A 22,160-nucleotide genomic window follows, 5' to 3' on the forward strand; every position below is an offset into this window, starting at 1 on the left:
CTTTTTCTAGACCTCAGGAAAATATTAATATGGTGAAAGGATACACTACCAAAGAATAAGCCCAAATAAACCTGATTTTAACGTTTACTTATATTTTTGTACCTATTCTTGCCTTTCCCTTATTAAAGGCGAGGGGCCGGGTACGGTGGCTCACGCCTGTAATCCCAGCACTTTGGGAGGCTGAGGCGGGCGGATCACGAGGTCAAGAGATCGAGGCCAGCCTGGCCAACATGGTGAAACCTCGTCTCTACTAAAAATACAAAAAAATTAGCCGGGCGTGGTGGCGGGCGCCTGTAGTCCCAGCTACTCAGGAGGCTGAGGCAGGAGAATGGCATGAACCCGGGAGGCAGAAGTTGCAGTGAGCTGAGATCATGCCACTGCACTCCAGCCTGGCGACAGAGAGAGACTCCATCTCAAAAAAAAAAAAAAAAAAAAGGCGAGGGTAATAATCCACAAGCACGCAGATCCTGACTGCACATGGGAATGGACACCACCTGTCCACCTGTGAGGGCCTCCCTGGGAGCAGCAGCAGGTGCTCTATGTTATGGGCAATTCCAGGCCATATGGAGTTCAATAATGAACTCCACCCAGCTTCTCCACTTAAGAAAGCAAGGAGTGGCAGGAGCTGTGGCTCACACCAATCATCCCAGCACTTTAGGAGGCCAAGGTGGGCGGATCACTTGAGCCCAGGATTTTGAGACCAGCCTGGGCAACACAGTGAAATCCCGTCTCTACAAAAAATACAAAATTTCAGGCAGGCATGTAGTCCCAGCTATTCAGGAAGCTGAAGTGAAAGGATCACCTGAGTTCGGAAAGTCAAGGCTGCAGTGAGCCGAGTTTATGCCACTGCATTACAGCCTGGGCGATGGAGTGAGACCCTGTCTTAAAAAAAGAAAGGCCGGGCACAGTGGCTTATGCCTGTAATCCCAGCACTTTGGGAGGCCGAAGCAGGAGATCACGAGGTCAGGAGTTCCAGAACAGCCTAGCTAACACAGTGAAACCCCGTCTCTACTAAAAATACAAAACTTAGCTGGGCGTGCTAGTGCATGCCTGTAATCCCAGCTACTCGGGAGTGAGGCAGGAGAATCACTTGAACCTGGGAAGCAGAGGTTGCAGTGAGCCGAGATCGCGCCATAGTACTCCAGCCTGGGAGACAGAGCAAGACTCCTCTCAAAAAGAAAAAAAAGAAAAGAAAGCAAGGGGCAATGTAAACTATGAAGAGACATAATTCCAGGAAAAAGTTGAACTAACTCTCATTTCGTTTTTAAGCAAGTAAATCACTAGTAAGCTTTGCTTTGTTACTTCAACTATTATTTAGAAGCAAATTACTGGTGACATGTCCCCTAGTTGTATCTTGACATCAATGACTGCCCTAGAGCAGCAGTTATCAGAGCGTGATCTAAGGACTCCTGCGGGGGCAGGGAGGAATCCCCAAAGCTCTCTCTTTCCCAACTATATCTGTGTGAAGCTCAGTTTTCTTCATCTACTTCAAACAGATAACAGACAATGCAGAATCTAGCTGTTTTCTCTTAAGTTGGACATTAATGAGATTAGCAAAAACTTAAAATGCCAGTCTTCTTACTAAGTTGTTTCTGGTTTTTGGAAAACAGTTAATTTTCACTAAAAATGTGTTATTTAGGTTGGGCACAATGGCTCACACCTGCAATCCCAGCACTTTGGGAGGCCGAGGCAAGTGGATCACCTGAGGTCAGGAGTTCAAGATCGGCCTGGCCAACATGGTGAAACCCCATCTCTACTAAAAATACAAAAATTAACCAGGTGTGGTGGTGCGCGCCTATAGTCCCAGCTACTCAGGAGGCTGAGGCAGGAGAATCGCTTGAACCCAGGAGGCGGAGGTTGCAGTGAGCCAAGATTGTGCCACTGCACTCCAGCCTGGGTTACAGAGCAAGACTCTGTCTCAAAAAAAAAAAAAAAAAAAAGTTATTTAAGTCACCATGCAATGGGTTTATCATTGCTATTTTAAATAATTTAATAATTACATTATTTAATAGGTTCTCACTTTTTATTTCTAATAAATATCCATAGATAAAACCCACATATGGCTGAGCACGGTGGCTCAAGCCTGTAATCTTAACATTTTGGGAGGCCAAGGCAGGTGGATCGCTTGAGGTCAGGAGTTCAAGACCAGCCTGGCCAACATGGCCAAATCCTGTCTCTACTAAAAATACAAAAATTAGCTGTCCATGGTGGTGGGCACCTGTAATCCCAGCTACTCCAGAGGCTGAGGCAGGAGAATCGTTTGAACCCAGGGCAGGGGGGGTGGAGGGGGGGAGGTTGCAGTGAGCTGAGATCACGCCACTTCACTCCAGCCTGATAAGAGCAAAACTCTGTCTCGAAAATACAAACAAACAAAAACACATAACCACAAGCTCTTTAAAGTCCATGGTAATTTTTGAGCACAGGGGTCCTGAGACCAAACAATCTGGGAACCCTAAAGGGTTAGGTTGGGTTCAATTCTACTACATCCCTCTAAGGGATTAGTTTACACACCATACCTGGGGCAAATGTCTGCTGAATGAATGACTTTAAGAGAATGTTACAAAATACCCTGTAGAATATGACTGCATTTTGTTTAAAACTTTATGTAGTTAAATTTGTACAAAGAAAAAAATCTATAAAAATAGACACGAGGCCGGGCGCGGTGGCTCACGCCTGTAATCCCAGCACTTTGGGAGGCCGAGGCAGGTGGATCACGAGGTCAGGAGATTGAGACCATCCTGGCTAACATGGTGAAACCCTGTCTCTACTAAAAATACAAAAAATTAACCGGGCGTGGTGGCGGGCACCTGTAGTCCCAGCTACTCGGGAGGCTGAGGCAGGAAAATGGTGTGAACCCAGGAGGTGGAGCTTGCAGTGAGCTGAGATCACACCACTGCACTCCAGCCTGGGCAACAGAGTGAGATTCCGTCTCAAAAAAATAAAAATAAAAACAGACACAAAATGTTTACACTAATGATGTCAAAGAGGCAGTCTTTTAAGTCTTTTTACCTTACTTTCATTCTATTTTGGACTAACTGTGTTTTCTTGTTCTACAGTAAGGGCGTGGGGGGGGGTCTGGAGCAGCATTGCCTAAAGTGTGTTCCCCGGGACACTGGTGCCACAGGTGCGGCAGAAAGAGTCCCAGGTCAAGTGAGTTGGTTTTACCCCCGGCTCAGCAATTCCTCCAAGTGCACTCAAGCCTGTGAGAAGCCCTGCAGTAACGAAACCTGTTTAACGTTAACAGCGCTTCCCAAGCTTACATGACCGAGACCTCATTGACCTAACAGCACCTGTCCACGTCACACACCTAGGGAGACCCATCTCTCATCCTAGATGAGTTTCAAGGGGAAGCCTGCAGTTGGTCACTACATCCTTACCATTAGAAGTCACTACACGGACTACGTCACCATTATTTACAAACGACAACTTCTAGCAAAGATAATATTAAATGATACATGATACATCCCACTGGAATAGCTGGGAGTTACATCAAATACATTTTTTACACTGACTTTAGTAAAATGCCTCTATACAAGGGAGTAAATTTACTTCATATAGATTTAGGAACTTGGTAAATTCAAGTAACAATTTTAAATAGCAATATTTCAGTTAAATTCTTTGATGAAAAACACTAAGCGCGTCTGGCCCTAAGTCATTCCTCCACACAGCGTACAGCAGTCAGCATCCCCTGAAAGGCGTGGCCACCGTGAAGAGGCAGGGCCTGCAGAGGCGGCTGCTTGCAGAGGGCCCACCGCCCCCGGTTGTGGCTCTCCTGCCTCTCCTCCACCTCAAAACCTTTCTGCCCTTGGAGGCCGTGCCTCTGCCTGGGCATGGGGGCCCCTCCTCCCTGGGCTTCCTGACGTGCTTCTGCAGATCCCAGTGGCAGGCTACTCTCTCCCTCCTTTTCTTCTCACTGGCTCGGTCACCTAGGACCCCAGGAACTAGGCTTCTGCCTCCTTCACAACCCTTCTCTGGTACCTCGGCCTCCTAGCCCCTTCATCCCAGGTGGGGGTCAAGGGGCCACTGATTGTGGCTGCTGCCCCCACAGAATCCTGCGGCGCTGCCACTCCAATGCCTCCCACCACTCCACCTTAACCAGCGCCTCACCGCTGGTTTACAGAATGACAGCAGTCCCTCTGTATCCACCAGGGTAGTGGTTCCAGGACGCCAGTCTACACCTGAATCCACACATACTCAAGTTGTTGGTCCTGCAGGACCCAAGTATTCAAAGAGTCAGTGCTTCCCATATGCGGGTGTCACAGCCCACAAATACTGTATTTTCCATTCACGTTTGGTTGAAAAAATCCACTTATAAGTGGACACATGCAGTTCAAAGCCATGTTGTTCAAGGCTCAACAGCACTGTACTGCAACGTGGGTGAGCGTGAACGCATGTGCATGCATGCGCTGGAATTTACTGCCAATCTACCCAATTTCCACTTGTTATAGGTTAAATATGTTTCTGACAGTCACTTTTGGAGCTTTATAAGCATTGTTTATAACAAATTTCCACGGGGAAGATACAATTTGGGTTCCAACTTGAACTCCAAACCGATCAATATGAGTTACCTTTCCAAATCAGAAATGGCTTAGGTACCAGGAAACAATGTATCAAGACAAAGCTAGGTTGAGGCAGTTTGCCAGTAATTACTAGACGATCCCATGAGCGGAGGTAGTCAGGAATTTCAGCAAGGGGCCAGTTCGGTTTACCCAGGCCTGGGGACAGACTGAGTGGAGAAATAACACGTGCCCGAGCTCTCAGGAAAAAGGCCTCAATCTGACCAGAACTAGCACGGACTCACATTGGTTGGCCACTGCTGTGGGCTGCTCAGATGCCAGGGTTCCATCACTGCTCTCTGCACCAGCTTGCCCCAGCTTACCTGTCTGTACTTGGGTTTCCAAACGATAAGAGTACAGCCGGGACTGCTCTAGCCTGAGCCAAGGCTGCTGTCCCAAATCCTCATCTGGTCTCCTGCATTCTAGATATAACAGAAACTTCAGGAAACCCTTTTCCCCTTCTCCTTCAGGCCTAAGCAACAACCAGATTTGGCCCAAGGGGCCCATGTTTGTTCTCCCTTTGTCCCTGGCTTCACTGTCCACCAGAGTGAAAACCTCATACGCAGAAAACACCCACAACCCAAGCTGAGGGGAAACAATGGCCCTCCAGGCTCTGCCCTTATTCTCTGCCAAGACTTACACCTCTGGCCTTATGCTGTCACTGTCCGCTGGCCACAGATGCCTCCCAGAGCCCTCCCTGAGAAGACACAGGATGTGAGTGACAGCCCATCAGACACACACCCCCCAGCCTCCAGGAGTCACTCTGAAGCGCCCGCCCAAATGCGGATCTGCCTTACTCGCCTGATGGTCTGTCCTCTTCCTGGGTCAGCACCCAATCCTGAATAATTCACTCCTTCAATCTCTGCAGTCAGGCTCCTGTGCACACCACTCTGCACCGTGCATTCCTGAAGATAACATGAACGGCCTCTTAATCACCACCCCACCTGCCTCTCCTCGGTACTCATGCTTGCATTCACTTCTCTAAAATCTAAACTGGGCCAGGCAGGGTGGCTCATGCCTGTAATCCCAGTGCTTTGGGAGGTCAAGGAGGCTGGATCACTTGAGGTCAGGAGTTTGAGACCAGCCTGGTCAACATGGTGAAACCCCGTCTCTACTAAAAATATAAGCAGTGGCTCACGTCTGTAATCTTAGCATTTTCGGAGGCCTGGGCAGGTGGATCATGAGGTCAAGAGTTCGAGACCAACCTGGCCAACATGGTAAAACCCCATCTCTACTAAAAATACAAAAATCAGCCGGGCGCGGTGGTGGGTGCCTATAATCCCAGCTACTCGGGAGGGTGAGACAGAAGAACTGCTGGAACCTGGGGGACAGAGGTTGCAGTGAACCGAGATCACACCACCGCACTCTAGCCTGAGGGAAAGAGCAAAACTCTGTCTCAAAAAAACTATAAAAATGATACCAGCTACTTGGGAGGCTGAGGCAGGAGAATAGCTTGAACCTGGGAGGCAGAGGCTGCAGTGAGCCAAGATCATGCCACTGCACTCCAGCCTGGGCAACAGAGGGAGACTCTGAGAAAGAGAGAGAGAGAAAGAGAGAGAAAGAGAGGGAGAGAGAGAGAGAGAAAGGAAGGAGGGAGGGAGGGAGAGAGGGAAGGAAGGAAGGGAGAAGGCAGGGAGGAAAGGAGGGGAAGGAGGGGAGGAAGGGAGGGAAGGCAGGCAAGCAGGCAGGCAGGCAGGGTATGGTGGCTCACGCCTCTAATCCCAGAACTTTGAGAGGCCGAGGCAGGTGGATCATCTAAGGTCAGGAGTACGAGACCAGGCTGGCCAACATGGTGAAACCCCATCTCTACTAAAAATACAAAAATTAGTCAGGTGTGGGAGTGTACACCTGTAATCCCAGCTACTCGGGAGGCTGAGGCAGGAGAATTGCTTGAAGCCGGGAGGCAGAGGTTGCAGAGAGCCAAGATCATGCCACTGCACTCCAGGCTGGGCAACAGAATGAGACTCTGTCTCAAAAATAAATAAATAAAGACTGGGGACACTAGCTCACGCCTGTAATCCCAGCACTTTGGGAGGCCACAGCAGATAGATCACCTGTAGTCAGGAGTTCGAGACCAGGCTGGCCAACATGGTGAAACCCCATCTCTACTAAAAATACAAAAATTAGCCAGGTGTGGTGGTGTACACCTATAATCCCAGCTACTCAGGAGGCTGAGGCAGGAGAATCTCTTGAACCTGGGAGGCGGAGGTTGCAGTGAGCCGAGATTGCGCCACTACACTCCAGCCTGGGCGACACAGTGAGACCCCAACTCAAAAAATAAATAAATAAAATTAAAAATAAATAAATAAATAAAAATAAAATCTAAACTGTTGACCACATCTACCTAGAATGCCTCATTCCACATACCTCCGGATCCTCTCTCCTCTCTGTTCTCTGATCAATTCTCTTGCTCCTGGGACCCTCACAACAATGTATGATATACTTTATATGCAACAAGAAAAATGCAATCAACACAATCTGTTCAGACCCACTGCCATATGCATTACTTTAAGTAGCAGTTAAAAAGCCCAAACCTTCTAAGAACACTCAGAAAAAGTCTAGAAAAAGACAAAGTTAATAAACTTTACCAAATGAATCTGCAAATATATATTAACCACTGGTATTAATGGCCTAAAACATTATTTCATTCAAACAAACAGTAATGTCGTAGTTGTTATTAAAGTCAGCAGAAGGGAGGGGAAAGGCTATGTTATGAAGCTATCCCAGTGGTACTTACTCCAATTTAGAAGAAGTTTTAACATGTCAGATTTCATATAAAAAAGCATTTAAGCCAGTATTTATTTTCTATTCAAGGCTCTGAATGTTTAGAAGACATGTATTCGCTGCTTCCTAGGTAAACAAGAGGCGGCTCTCGTACACTTGGGCATGGACTTTTTAAACCCTTGCCAAATGAAAATGTTTTCTACAGGAATCATGAGCTGGTATCAATGGATATTTACAGACAGCTCAGAAGCAAGCTCTGACCTTGCCAACTTAGGGCTTTATAATCAGTCAGGATTATCAAGGTCCCCTTCCAACTAGTCACAAGGCACTAGTAACTGAGGGGCTCAAAAACTCAAAACGACTGTACCCCACCTGTTACTCCCCACCCCCACTGTTCCTTTAATAATTTTAGCCCAGAGTGAGAGGGCCTAAGGAGAAAATGAAATTCAAGTCAGTGTGTTTTACTATTTACTTAGTACTCTGACAAATGCTTGAAATGCATGGCAAAAAAAAAAAAAAAAAGAGTAGGGATTATCCAAGAATTTTAATGATTTGTTATCCTTTTTACTAATTCTGTAAGTAATAAGAAACTAGCATCAATTAGTCAAATCATTTTAAAAGTAAACATAGGCCAGGGGCGATGGCTCACGCCTGTAATCACAGCACTTTGGGAGGCTAAGGTGGGTGGATCATGAGGTCAGGAGACTGAGACCATCCTGGCTAACACAGTTAAACCCCATCTCTACTAAAAATACAAAAAATTAGCTGGGCGTGGTGGCATATGCCTGTAGTCCCAACTACTCAGGAGGCTGAGGCAGGTGAATACCTTGAACCCAGGAGGCAGAGCTTGCAGTGAGCCGAGATCGCACCACTGTACTCCAGGCTGGGCAACAGAGCAAGACTCCGTCTCAAAAAAACAAAAAAGAGTAAACATAATCTGCTTAACAGAAGGGCTTTAGTCCCCCAGATCATACACAACCCTAGTCTTCTGTGAGCCTCTGTCTACCATCGGTTCTCACTGTCCACTGAGAACGGAGTAGAGCCTATCCTTTGCTTGTTGCTGAGGATGGAAAGATGAAGGGGAAACTTGCACCCTGAAGCCACTTAGAATAAAAGGCAGGACTCTTTTCCCAAGGGGAAGGAGGAGCATTGGCCAGAGATGCAGCTGACAAGAGACACAGAGGACAAGCAGCTCTGGTGAAAATCTCAGGCCCTGGGCCCACAATTTGACTATTAATACTCTGTCATCTAGTTTTATCAATACTCAGGGCCAGTTTCCTGCATGTGCCAGGAGCCAGGCATAGAAGGGCCCCAGGGTTGGTTTAAAAACCTATTGCTGGCTGGGCACGGTGGCTCATGCCTGTAATCCCAGCACTTTGGGAGGCCGAGGCGGGCAGAACACCTGAGGTCGGGAGTTCAAGACCAGCCTGACAAACATGGAGAAACCCCATCTCTACTAAAAATACAAAATTAGCCGGGCCAGTTGTGGTGCATGCCTGTAATTCCAGCTACTCAGGAGGCTGAGGCAGGAGAATCACTTGAACCCAGGAGGTGGAGGTTGTGGTGAGCTGAGATCACGCCATTGCATTGCAGCCTGGGCAACAAGACTGAAACTCTATCTCAAAAAAAAAAAAAAAAACAAACAAACCTATTGCTGACCAGGTGAGGTAGCTCAGCCCATAATCCTAGCACTCTGGGAGGCTGAGGTGGGAGGATCACTTGAGGTCAGGAGCTCAAGACCAGCCTGGCCAACATGGTGAAACCCCATCTCTACTAAAAATACAAAAATTAGCCAGGCATGGTGGCGGGTGCCTAGTAATCCCAGCTACTCAGGAGGCTGAGGCATGAGAATCGCTTGAACCCAGGAAGTGGAGGTTGCAGTGAGCCGAGAGTACACCACTGCACTCCAGCCTGGGTGACAGGGCAAGACTCTGTCTAATAAACAAAAAGAAAAACCTGTTGCCATCTTGATATTTTTTATAATTTTTGGGACAGATGCAGTGGCTCACGCCTGTAATCCTAGCACTTTGGGAGGCTGAGGCGGGTGAACTGCCTGAGCTCAGGAGTTCAAGACCGTCCTGGGCAACCTGGTGAAACCCTGTCGCTACTAAAAGTACAAAAAATTAACCAGGCTTGCTGGTGCATGTCTGTAATCCCAGCTACTCGGGAAGCTGAGGCACGAGAATTGCTTCCACCCTGAAGGCGGAGGTTGCAGTGAGCTGAGATCATACCTCTGCACTCTAGCCTGGGCAATACAGCAAGACTCTGTCTCAAAAAAAAAAAAAAGAAAGAAAGAAAAAGAAAAACATTTTTAATAATTTTTGAACAAGGGGCCCCACAGTTTGTTTTGCATTGGCCCCTTGGATTATGTAGCTAGTCCTGTCAATCTTCATCATTAACTACATCTGAAATATGCAAAACTCAGTGAGACTAGAGTCTGCATTTCAGATGGAATTCATTATACCCTTTAAAAGCCACTTAATAGACAACCTTATACAAATCATTCTGAAGTTTCACATTTCTTCAATTTAAATTTATGACATTCAACTATTTTGAAGTGGTCCTCAAAAGTACTATATAAGAAACATGTTGGCTGGGCGCGGTGGCTCGCACCTGTAATCCCAGCACTTTGGGAGGCCAAGGCGGGAGGATCACAAGGTGAGGAGATCGAGACCATCCTGGCTAACACGATGAAACCCTGTCTCTACTAAAAATACAAAAAAAAATTAGCCGGGCGCAGTGGCAGGCACCTGTAGTTCCAGCTACTCAGGAGGCTGAGGCAGGAGAATGGCATGAACCTGGGAGAAGGAGCTTGCAGTGAGCCAAGATCACGCCATTGCACACCAGCCTGGGTGACAGAGCGAGACACTGTCTCAAAAAAAAAAAGAAAGAAAAATGTTAGGCTGAGCATGGTGGCTCATGCTTGTAATCCTAGCACTTTGGGAGGCTGAGGCAGGGAGATTGCTTGAGTCCAGGAGTTTGAGACCAATCTGGGCAATATGGTAAAACCCCATCTCTACCAAAAAAAAAAAAAAAAAAGCCAGGCATGGTGGTGTGTGTCTGTAGTTCCAGCTATTCAGGGGGCTGAAATGGGCAGATCGCTTGAACCTTGGGAGGACGGAGATTGCAGTGAGCTGAGATCGTGCCACTGCACTCCAGCTTGAATAAAAATTTCTTTGCTATACTTTAAGTATGTAAACAAAGAAGATATTCATTTTTACTGAGTTTTAAAATTCACTTTGAATCTAAAGACATATTTCTAAGCATTTTATATGTTTGAAGATTGGGTAATTGAGGAATAGTTAAATAAAATCAAAGGACTAGAAAAAATAATTTACTTTTTAACAAAGCACATTTTTAGCCAACTAGCATAACAAAAATGTAATGAATGAAGAAATGTCAGCTGGACATGGTGGCTCACGCCTATAATCGCAGCACTTTGGAGGGCCAAAAAGGGCAGAATGCTTGAGCCCAAAAGTTCGAGACCAGCCTGGGCAACATAGGAAGATCCCGTCTCTACAAAAATTTTAAAATTAGCCAGGCATGGCGGTGTGCACACCTACTCAGGAGGCTGAGGTGGAAGGATAGTTTAAGCCAAGGGAGGTTGAGGCTGCAGTGAGCTGTGATTGTGCCACTGCACTCCAGCCTGGGCAACAGAGCAAGATCCTGTCTCAAAAAAAAAAAAAGAAAAATGTCACTTTTCTAAACTAGTTGTAGTTTGAAAATTCTCGTGTTTTTTCCAGTCCCTTTCATTAAGTTAAGCCCTGCTCCTGGAACCAGGATATTGACTCTGCATGTGTCTGGGTGGCTGTCCCCCAAACACTGCATGTGTAGCCCTGTGCTAGGCTCAGATTTCCTAAGAAATCTACAGAAATCAAGGCCTAGGCCTCAGTGCTCTCAGTCTCTCTTAATGTGTGAGGTGGTAAAAACAACAGACTGTAGGCTTGGATGCCTGCAAAAATACAAAGGCGTGATAAAATTTAGTCCTCAGGAAAGCTGACCAAAGGCTCAATGTTTTTAAGAAAAGGGTTGCTCTGTGAGCTACCAAGAGCCCCACAGCAGCAGAGTTCAAACAGAGGCTGAATGATCAACACACAAGAACATATGAGGAAATGTCTGTTTTACAGGGAAGGCTATTTAAAGTATAGAGGAAAGAACTTTCAAAGTTCCTTTCAACTCAAAGTCTAAAGTCCAGAGTAGAAATTATATGAGAGACAATGGCAAAGGAAGGAATTGGTTGGATGAAATGCCGGTTTGCACCTAGACTAGGAAAAATTCAACTTAAAATTCTAACAAACTAGAAAACTGTGAAATGTGTATTTGATTCGAAAAATGCTCCTGTGAGTGACTATGGAGGTCAAGTGGATACAGGATGGTGCAGCCACTTTGTACAACCAACTGGTAGTTCCTCAAAATGTTAAAAACACAGGCCGGGCATAGTGCTCACGCCTGTAATCCCGGCACTTTGGAAGGCCAAAGCAGCTGGATCACTTGAGGTCAGGAGTTGGAGACCAGCCTGGCCAACATGGTGAAACCCCGTCTCTACTAAAAATACAAAAATCAGCCGGGCATGGTGGCAGGCACCTGTAATCCCAGCTACTCGGGAGGCTGAGGCAGGAGAATCTCTTGAACCCAGGAGGCGGAGGCTGCAGTGAGCCAAGATAACATCACTGCACTCCAGCCTGGGTGACAGAGTGAGACTCTACCTCAAAAAAAAATTTTTTTAATTTAAAAAGTTAAATCTAAGAGTTACCCTAAGACCCAACAATTCCACTTGGGTATACACCCAAGAGAAATGAAAACATATGTCCACACAAATTCCTGTACAAAAATGTTCATAGTAATATTTTCCAAAATTAGCTACAAAGTGGAAATAACCCAAATGTCCATCAGTGAATAAATGGATAAACAGAATGTGTTATATCCCTACAAGGATATATTATTTACCTATGAAAAGAAACGAAGTCCTGATACATGCTACAACATGGATGAACCTTGAAGACATCATATTAAGCAAAAGAAGCTAGTCACAAAAGGCCACGTATGATTCCATTGATGTGAAATGTCCAAAATAAGCAAATCCATAGACAGAAAATAGACTAGGGGTTGCCAAGGGAGGAGGAGAGGAGGAGGGAGATGGAGAATGATTGCTAACAGATATGGGATTTCTTTTGGGAGTGATGAAAGTGTTCTGAAATTAGATAGTGGTGATGGTTGTGCAACTTTGTAAATATACTAAAATCACTGAATTGTATGCCTTAAAAGGTTGAATTTTATGGTATGTGAACTATACCTCAATAAAGCTGCTTTAAAAAAAAAAAAAAAAAGGAGTGGATGCAGAAAAAGGTGGGTTTTTTTGTTTGTTTGTTTGAGACAAAGTCTTGCTCTGTCACCCAGGCTGGAGTGCAGTGGCATGACAAAAGTGGTCTTTTTTTTTGAGATGGAGTTTTGCTCTTGTTGCCCAGGCTGGAGTGCAATGGTGTGATCTCGACTCACTGCAACCTCCGCCCCCTGGGTTCAAGCAATTCTCCTGCCTCAGCCTCCCAAGTAGCTGGGATTACAGGCATGTGCCACCACGCCCAGCTAATTTTGTATTTTTTAGTAGAGATGGGGTTTCTCCACATTGGTCAGGCTGGTCTCTTTCTCCCAACCTCAGATGATCCGCCCACCTCGGCCTCCCGAAGTGCTAGGATTACAGACGTGAGCCACCGCACCCAGCCGGTGGTCCTCCTTTGTCCTACACAATGACTCAGAGAAAGTACAGATCAAGGTAGGCTTGAAAAGTAGCAGACTCAACAGAAGTTCTTGTCATGGGAGAATCAGACAGAACGAAACAGATGGCTGAAAGATGATTCTTCGGCCAGGTGCGGTAGCTCATACCTATAATCTCGGCTCTTTGAGAGGATGAGGTGGGAGGACTGATTGAGTCCAGGAGTTCGAGACCAGCCTGAGCAACACAGTGAGACGCCACTTCTATTAATTCTTTTTAAGATAATGATTCATGTCTGACCAAAGAAGTAAAAAAGAAAAAACATGACTCTTCTTTTGATATGCTATCACATACTTCTTATTGGGGTTCCGGAATGGGAAGGAAGCTTTCAGATTTTTTTCTTTTTTTGAGACGGAGTTTTGCTCTTGTTGCCCAGGCTGGAGTGCAATGGCACCATCTCGGCTCACCGCAACCTCCACCTCCTGGGTTCAAGCAATTCTCCTGCCTCAGCCTCCCGAGTAGCTGGGATTACAGGCATGCGCCACCACACCCGGCTAATTTTATATTTTTTAGTAGAGATGGGGTTTCTCCATGTTGGTCAGGCTGGTCCCGAACTCCTGACCTAAGGTGATCCGCCTGCCTCGGCCTCCCAAAGTGCTGGGATTACAGTTGTGAGCCACTGCACCCAGCCAACTTTCAGATGTTTTATAGGCATTTAAGCTGCTTTAAACTCTGCTACTTTGAAGTACGTGAATCTCTGCCAAGAATCTTTAAAAATAAAAACTTTAGTAACAGATCTTGTGAAAATTTTTAATCTAATAATAATATCCTAAAGCTAAATCAAAAAATGAGCAAAAATATACCTAAAACATAGGAGAGAAAGAACCTATCAAATCAGGGACAACTGAAAGCAGCATTCTAGTTCCCGGGTGGTGGCAGCTCTTAGGGAAAAGACGGGTATTGTATGTCAGGCTGACACAGTGGGGAGGCTGTCGCCATTTAAGGGTTCCTATATATGGCCTTTGCATAGCCTCAAAATGTCACTTTTGAGGGTCTGTTAGTTTGGCTTTTTTTTTTTTTTTTTTTTAGAGACAGAGTCTTGCTCTGTCGCTCAGGCTGGAATGCAAGTGGTGTGACCTTGGCTCACTGCAGCCTCAACCTGCCAGGCTCAATCAGTTCTCCAGCCTCAGCCTCCTGAGTAGCTGGGACTACAGGCATATGCCACCATGCCCAGCTAATTGTTTTGTATTTTTAGTAGAGATGGGGTTTCACCATGTTGCACAGGCTGGTCTCGAACTCCTGGACTCAAGCAGTTCACCCATCTTGGCCTCCCAAAGCACTGGGATTACAGGTGTCAGCTACCATGCCTGGCCGTTTGGGTTTTTTTTTGTTTTTGTTTTTGTTTTTTCCTGAGACTGAGTCTCACTCTGTCGCCAGGCTGGAGTGCGGCGGTGTGATCTCGGCTCACTACAACCTCCGCCTCCCGAGTTCAAGCAATTCTCTTGCCTCAGCCTCCCAAGTAGCTGGGACTACAGATGCATGCCACCATGCCCAGCTAATTTTTGTATTTTTAGTAGAGACAGGGTTTCATCATGTTGGCCAGGATGGTCTCCATCTCTTGACCTCATGATCCACCCACCTTGGCCTCCCAAAGTGCTGGGATTACAGGCATGAGCCACCGCGCCAGGCCTTGGTTGTTTTTTAATGCACGAACATGACATTGCATAAATAATTTCCACCAATCTTGAATCTGTAGTCCTGAAACACTACTAAAATCCGTATTTTGTAGCAAATCAACATTTTAAATTTCACTTATAAAGACATATTTCTTCAAGCAACTCTTTTTTTTTTTTTTTTTTTTTTTTTTTGAGACGGAGTCTCACTCTGTCGCCCAGGCTGGAGTGCAGTGGCGCGATCTCGGCTCACTGCAAGCTCCACCTCCCGGGTTCACGCCATTCTCCTGCCTCAGCCTCCCGAATAGCTGGGACTACAGGCACCTGCCACCACGCCTGGCTAATTTTTTGTATTTTTTTTTAGTAGAGACAGATGGGGTTTCACCGTGTTAGCCAGGATGGTCTTGATCTCCTGACCTCGTGATCCACCCACATTGGCCTCCCAAAATGCTGGGATTACAGGTGTGAGCCACCGCACCCGGCCCCTTCAAGCAAGTCTTCACACCAAATTAAGACCCACTAAAAAAACAAGTTTTAATGATCTAAGCCCTCAACCAGAATACATAAGAAATAGACTCTTGGCGGTTTTTTAGGATAATCAGATCTCTATTTTGTTTCAACTCTTATAAATGAAAACTACCCAAAAAAATTAAAAAACATACTTTCCTGTCTCAGAAAGCAATAATAAAAATAACTCAGTACTTTTTTTCCTTTGTTCTAAAATTTTAACCTATCTCAGCTTCCTCATTTTAAACATTTAGACTTGGTTTAATAAGCTTCACTAAGTCCTGCAGCTAGTGTTACGAAATTACAGCATTTTCTATTTTCAATGTAATATTTTATATCCCACAAAAATTTCATTTTTTGGTCATATTCTTCATAACTAAAACTGAAATATTATTTGCGTTTTTGGCTTGAATATCAAATACTGGCACAGATAATGTATGTTATGACCTCCTAAACCTTCCTTTTGAAAAATAATTCCTATAAAACTGCTTGGTTTCATGCTTTTTCTCCCAAAAGAAATATCCAGCCAAAGGACGAATTCCAGCTAACTGAAGGTTCCAGTTAACCGAGTGAATGCTCTAAAATTGGAATATATTCAAAATTGTTCGTATTTTATTATTTCTTCAGCAGTTATAGGTCTCCTTTGAGAAATAAATGTTATTTACTTTCAGTATTAAAAATGTTAGACTATGGGTAATACTGAGGTCTATATTCGAACGACTTTTTTCCACATCGTTACTTCTGAAAAAACGAGGTAACAAATTAAGAAACCATCTTCCCAAAAAAGCTGAAAATTATAGTATTTTTAAAGGGACTAACAGGGGTAGCCACAGAGCTACAGCCTTCAAAGGCTGAGACAGAGTTTCATGATCTAATATCCCCAATACTGCAACCAACAGAATTGATCCTTGAACTTTTTTTTTTTTTTTGGTATTTTTGTAGTGACAAGGTTTCACCATGTTGCCCAGGCTAGTCTCAAACTCCTGGGCTCAAACAATCTGCCTGCCTAGTTCTCCCAAAGTGCTGGAATTACAGGGGTGAGCCACCGAGGCTGGCCCCATGATCCTTGAAAATTTACCCACTAATGAATTCCCATATCGACACTGCAGAATTTAAGTTTGGGCCGGGTGCAGTGGCTCACACCTGTAATCTCAGCACTGTGGGAGGCAGAGGCAGGCGGATCACTTGAGGTCAGAAGTTCAGACCAGCCTGGCCAACATGGTGAAACCCTGTCTCTACTAAAAATACAAAAATGAGCCCAGTGTGATGGCATATGCCTGTAGTCCCAGCTACTGGTGAGGCTGAGGCAGAAGAATCTCTTGAACCCGGGAGGCGGAGGTTGCAGTGAGACAAGATCGCGCCATTGCACTCCAGCCTGGGTGACAGAATGAGACTCTGTCACAAAAACAAAAACAAACAAAAAAAAAACTTAAGTTTGCTTTACACTATGTAATTTTTTTCAGTATATAGCATTTATCTGTAAAGTGAAAATTAGGATGCAAAGCTACTACGCTGTCTAAACTGAAATGCTGTTATCCATCCACCCATTCATTCATTCAATCACACAATACTGGCATGCCTCTGGTGTGCTGGTGACGGGAAACATATGCAAAGCAGATACCCTTCCATCTTGGGGCATATGTTCTACTGAGGGGAAACAGACGATAAACAATTCAATAAGTAAACAACAAGGCATGTTAGAATGGGCTAAGTGCTATGCAAAAAGAAAAAGTGTTGCAGGGAAACAGGATTTAGGGGTTCAGGAAGAGAAATTATTTCAAATAGGATGGTGAGGGGAGGTCTCACTAAGCCTATGTGCAAATGGAAAAGTAACAGTGAATTTTATGTATTAAGTGGCTTCGAAATGCATTACATGGTTGCATTTTTTAAATATTCATATAAGCTTTCTATTTTCTCTGCTTCACTGTTCTATTTCCCGATCTCCATGAAGAAGGCAGGTAGCTGAAGGACATGACCGTCCAGGGCATGCCAAAGATATTTCTTCTAATATTTTGGCTTACTGAATTTGTTTTTAAGATGGAGTCTTGCTTTGTCACCCAGGCTGGAGTGCAGTGGCGCAATCTCGGCTCACTGCAACCTCCGCCTCCTGGGTTCAAGCAATTCTCCTGCCTCAGCCTCCCAAGTAGCTGGAGTTACAGGCGTCCACCAGTACACCCAGCTAATTTTTATATAGTTAGCAGAGATGGGGTTTCACCATGTTGGCCAGGCTGGTCTCGAACTCCTGACCTCAGGTGATCCGCTGGCCTCGGCCTCCCAAAGTGCTGGGATTACAGGCGCAAGCCACTGCACCCAGCTCTACTCAATGTTTTTTGAGAACTACAGCTATAATTAAAATAAAATTTGAGGGTCTCTACAAAACTAAGAGTCAAGATGCAATTTATATTAGAAAATCTATCATTTTCTGCAGCAGTCTGTACGTAATCTAACATTAACAATGATTAAAGGTAGCTACAGCATGAACAGGAGTTCATGTCGTACTGCCTTACAGCCGTAAAAAATTCAATTAGTTGAAATGATCTCTTAAAACGAGCCCACAGAGTGTCTCCAAACTGTAAATTTACATATGAAATTCACTTGTAATATTTCAAAATGAAATTGTTTATTAGCATTTCGTGTAATTCCAAGACATTTTCTAACTTGCAACCTGAAAAAAATGCATACGAATAACTGATGTGTAAAATGTCTTTATTCCGAAGACTAAGAATCTTGAACTACTGTAACTGCACCAAGAAAAACTTAGAGAAAGCAAATTACAAATGACTCAACTAGCCAACACACCTTTCACACAAGATTTCTGTCGGTCTCAGGTAATGAAGATATTCAAAGTTGAAATGTATGCTGTTTAAGTAACCAAGGCAATTAAATAATGACTAACAAATGTAGGTGCTATTTAAGAAAGCACCAATTTTAACAAGAAATGGTATCACTGACTAAATATACTTAAACTGTTCCCAAAATACCCAATCCAAGCACATATTTTTAAAATGTGTGGGTTTTCCCCAAGAGAAGCAAAACTTTTGACATTTCTCTTGGATATATTAGAGTTTCAGACCTCCAACCCACATCTGGAAAGAACATTTCAAACTTAGCTTGATGTTACTTTTAAAAATCAAATGGCCAGCAATGAGATACTTAGTGACTAAGATCTGAATTTGACAGAGTCAACAGAATGTTAGAAATGAAATAAAAGAAGTATTCAAAGTTTATCATCCTCGATGTTTAGAAAGGAACATGGAACAAAAGATGCATTTGCCGCCTCTGCCCTTTAATTCGTGAACACCATACTTCTCTCCTTATGTCACGCCAGGGAAGGGAAAATAAGAATTTTTAAAAAGCTTGCTAAATTCAAATATGACCATTTCATCTAGATTTCTATCAATCCTCCTCCCCAAAATTTCTTTTGATTAAAAAAAAATCAGAACAACAGATTTAAGCCTACAGTAGATTCTACAGACTACACCTAGATTACTCTGCTCTAAGGCCAAGGAAAATGTTTACGATTTCAAGATCCACTCAGAAGCAAATACTGTATCTGCAATGCGTAAGCTTTTCGTTGGCAAGACCAGTCAATAGCAGAGGCATGCAAGGTTTAAAAGGTTAAGTGGATGAAGGTTAAAAGCTAATAATAAATTAGCCAAGAAATACTACTTCCCACCGAGCCATAAAATAATTTCGGTCCTACAATCCTAAAAAACCAGAGAGGTTTCTCGTTTTTGTAGAGAACATCTAACCCTCCACGGTCTAAATGACCGTCAGAAAAACAGCACCAAGGCACCAGGGGTAGCAGAGACGGAGATTTCTAACACTGGGTGAGCCCGCGGTCGCAAATCTCATCGCGATTTCACCTTTGGGTGAAAAGGTGGGAGGGAAGCACTAAGTTTCAGCCTCGGCTCCACTGGAAACAGACAACGTCTGAAGGACTCTGGGAGGAGGCGGAAAGGGGCGAAGTCGTGGTGTCCGCGGTGCAGCAACACAGAATCGGGATCTTGGAAACGGGATGCGGAGGAGTGGGCTCTTATGTAAGCACACACCAAAACTGTGCGTGCACCCCCCGCCTGATGCACATCTGAGCACACGTACACAGAGCATCTCACCCAGGGGTGCAGCCCCAGCCTGCGTGCGCCGCTGAGCAGGGCGGACTGACCCTTCGGCCCGTCTGCACGTTCCCCCAAATCAGCGCAGCCACCACCATGGGCTGCAGTGGGGGCAGCCCAGGCTCAGGAGCCCCGCCCGGGACGGAGCCTGGCTTCCCCGGGACGCCTGCAGCGCGCGCCCACAGTCTCCTGCGCCCTGGCCCCGGCTCCGCGAGCCCGACCCCCAACCCGAACCCCACGCCCTGACCCGGCTCCCTGCGCTCGGACCCGACTCCCCGCATCCCGGCTCGAATCCCGGCATCCGGCCCTACTCCCGCACCCGGACCCGAATCCCCGCACCGGGACCCGAATCCTGCACCCGGACCCGAATCCCGCACCGACCCAGCGGCCCGGCCCAGCCCCGGGGCTTACCTCGCGCGGCCCAGACCCCGCCGCCGCACAGCAGCCCGGCCAGCAGCAGCCGGGCGGCCGGGGCCAGCGCGGGAGCGGGGCGGCGCAGCATCGCCAGCCCGGGGCGGGAGCGGCAGGGAGGCGCGCGGGACGCCGAGCGGAGCTCTCGGAGCTCTCGGGGCTCTAGGGGCCTGGGGCTAGCTGCTCCGCGGCGCGGGGAGCTCCGGGGGTCCAAGGAGGAGCCGCCGCCGCCGCCGCCGTGACGCTGGGCCGCGCGCTCAGGACGCGGCGCCCTCCCCGCCTCAGAGCAGCGTCTTGCTGAAGGCAGCGGCAGCAACTAAGATGGCGGCGGCGCTCTCTCTCGGGTCCGGCGAGGGTACCCGGCCGGGGGCGGGGTGGCGGCGGGAGGGGCGGGGATGGGGAGCGACGCGAGGCGCGCGCGCGGCGGACCCTGGGAGCGCGCGGGCCCGGGAGGGGCGGGGGAGAGGAGCGGAGGGAGCGCGCGCGGCGGACCCGGCAGCGGGCGCGCGCCTCCGAGCCCGTCGGCCCCGCCTGGAGCGCGCGCCCGCGGGGACGCGCCTGGGGTGGGTTCCGAGCGGCCGGGAGGGGCCCGGGGGACTGTATCCCTTTCCCTGGCCGCAGATGGAGAGCCTCAACTCCGCGTCCCTACGCGCGCTCCCGGGCTCCTAAGGCCGGGTGAGCGGTACCCGGGGACCCGCTCCTCCTTCTCCACCCCGAGGACTCATCCTTCCCACCCGCTCCGCCGAGGAGCGCAGACCCCGGCGGAGCAGTGCGGCCCAGGACCCTTGTCACTTCGGGCAGGTCGCGTCGCCCCCCAGAACCTCGGGGTCCTCGTCTCCCCAGTAGAGGTGTTGAGAGGGGTCACGAAAGGGGGTCCAGGAGACGAGGTCAGCGAAACGCGCCTGGTAAACAGTTAAGGGCCGCGCAGCACTACCCACACCGGCTCCCGCCCCGGGACCTGCCCCCGGGGAGTCTGTCCTGAATTCACTGAAGGAATCTATTTGTGACTTTCAAAAGGCGGCTGGTGTGCGCGCTCTTTCTCAGTGACATGGTGCGATGCTGGTTCTTAGAAATGCGGAGGTCCGAATGGATAGAGAGGACAGAGAAGCCCTCCCCCTCTACCGTGGATCCCTACAGGGATCTTGGGGTCCTCCCAATTTCCCAGCGTCCAGCGGCCCCCTCCTCCTCGCCTCTGGACCCCTGGCACCCCCCCGCAGTGGAGGAAAGGCCTGGAACAGCCGTGGATGGGCGTGTGTGCAGGCACTGTACCCTATGAGACACTACTGGCTCCATTTTGCAGATAAGGAAACTAAGTCAGAAAGGTGAAATGACTTCCCCCGTTGGGACAACTATTGTAAAAAGAATCAGCCCTCAAGGACAGGATGTTCGCATTAGGGGGACACCAACAGCAAAAAGTGGAACCCTAAAATGTTCATTTTTCGAGACCGCTGGAGGAGCTATCCATGAATGTCACTGCTCCAGGTGGGGGTGGAGGAGGCTGGCAGCACTGGAGGCTGGGTGGAGACTGGTTTGTGGGGCGCAGAGGACTTATTTAGGAGACTAGTGGGCAAAGAGCCCAAAAACGTAGACTGAGGTCAGATTGGGGGAATGGACTTGATCCTACAGTCAACAGGAAGACCTGGAACGGCTGGGAACAGCGGTGTGATGTGACCTGGGGAAGGCTTCAAAAGCAATCTGGAATCCAACTCCCTGAGCCGTGTTCCCCGTAAGCGTCCTGCACCAAAGCCTACAGATTCCATCTTGTTAATGTCTCTCCTTCCTTCCCCTGCTCCCCCTCCCCTGCGTGGAGGAAGACCGGACTCTCCTTGGCTGGACCCTTCCCAAAGCACCTGCCTGGCCCGGGCAGGCTCCAAGCCACACCCACCACTCCTTCCAGCCAAGGCTTTGAGTCATCCTCTCCCCTGGTGACGGGTGTTGCCATTGCTTCTGCCCCTCCTGGAGTTATAAACTCAGTGAGTGCCTCCCTGCTGCCACCTCGTCAGGTCCAGACATCTCTGCTGGGCTTCCCATCCTCCACCCAGCTGACCTCAGGGCATGCTGTCTGCCACTGTCTCTTCTTATTCATTCCCCTCCCAGGGCCAACATCACACTTCCTCCTCCACCCATACCCAAGCCTCAGGTCCTTACAAGGAGCTTCTGGGCTGTCTCCTTCAGGAAGTCCTCCTGCCAGCCCTCCCTCTCCAGCCCCGAGCTGCTCTAACCAAACAGTTCAGCTTTATAATCTGCTGCCTGTGCTGTCGACTGACTAATCCATCAGTGTCCTTTTCTCCTCCCCACTGTATTCTAGTGGGAAGGACCCAGATGGTCTAGTCAGACGGGACTGGACTTCAGTGCTGGCCTCTGCAAATGCAAACGACCTTGGCCAGGTTATGGAACTTTCAGAATCTCCTCACCTGCGAAATGGAACAATATGTACTTCTTAGAGTTGTGAGAATTAAATGAA

At 47.4% G+C, this 22,160-nt stretch overlaps 1 protein-coding gene across 4 annotated transcripts in view, besides 7 other annotated features; it reads right to left on the bottom strand.

Moving 5' to 3' along the window:
• CLSTN1 (calsyntenin 1) overlaps window positions 1-20,580 on the bottom strand; it is a 95,601-nt gene extending 75,021 nt beyond the window's left edge. For 3 of the 4 annotated variants that reach the window (XM_047449470.1, NM_014944.4, NM_001302883.1), the window contains exon 1: window positions 19,697-20,580. In XM_047449470.1, the coding sequence (XP_047305426.1) occupies window positions 19,697-19,787 (91 nt within the window). In that variant the 5' untranslated portion in view covers window positions 19,788-20,580. The remainder of the gene's footprint in view (window positions 1-19,696) is intronic. The other variant, NM_001009566.3, reaches the window with a different exon arrangement.
• Window positions 19,741-19,820: a silencer, noted in NCBI's record as "silent region_232". NCBI's record gives its function as "represses an Ori minimal core promoter by ATAC-STARR-seq in GM12878 lymphoblastoid cells {active_cell/tissue: GM12878}" and the evidence as "EXISTENCE:reporter gene assay evidence [ECO:0000049][PMID:35858748]".
• Window positions 19,831-19,980: a silencer, noted in NCBI's record as "silent region_233". NCBI's record gives its function as "represses an Ori minimal core promoter by ATAC-STARR-seq in GM12878 lymphoblastoid cells {active_cell/tissue: GM12878}" and the evidence as "EXISTENCE:reporter gene assay evidence [ECO:0000049][PMID:35858748]".
• Window positions 19,831-20,609: a biological region, named in NCBI's record as "H3K27ac-H3K4me1 hESC enhancer GRCh37_chr1:9883897-9884613".
• Window positions 19,893-20,609: an enhancer, noted in NCBI's record as "H3K27ac-H3K4me1 hESC enhancer chr1:9883897-9884613 (GRCh37/hg19 assembly coordinates)". NCBI's record gives its function as "activates a minimal SCP1, AML or CMV promoter by ChIP-STARR-seq in primed H9 embryonic stem cells {active_cell/tissue: H9 hESC(primed)}" and the evidence as "EXISTENCE:reporter gene assay evidence [ECO:0000049][PMID:30033119]".
• Window positions 20,151-20,200: a silencer, noted in NCBI's record as "silent region_234". NCBI's record gives its function as "represses an Ori minimal core promoter by ATAC-STARR-seq in GM12878 lymphoblastoid cells {active_cell/tissue: GM12878}" and the evidence as "EXISTENCE:reporter gene assay evidence [ECO:0000049][PMID:35858748]".
• Window positions 20,221-20,280: a silencer, noted in NCBI's record as "silent region_235". NCBI's record gives its function as "represses an Ori minimal core promoter by ATAC-STARR-seq in GM12878 lymphoblastoid cells {active_cell/tissue: GM12878}" and the evidence as "EXISTENCE:reporter gene assay evidence [ECO:0000049][PMID:35858748]".
• Window positions 21,670-21,729: an enhancer, noted in NCBI's record as "active region_137". NCBI's record gives its function as "activates an Ori minimal core promoter by ATAC-STARR-seq in GM12878 lymphoblastoid cells {active_cell/tissue: GM12878}" and the evidence as "EXISTENCE:reporter gene assay evidence [ECO:0000049][PMID:35858748]".

This window comes from Homo sapiens, chromosome 1 (assembly GCF_000001405.40).
Source record: "Homo sapiens chromosome 1, GRCh38.p14 Primary Assembly".
Lineage (NCBI taxonomy): Eukaryota > Metazoa > Chordata > Mammalia > Primates > Hominidae > Homo > Homo sapiens.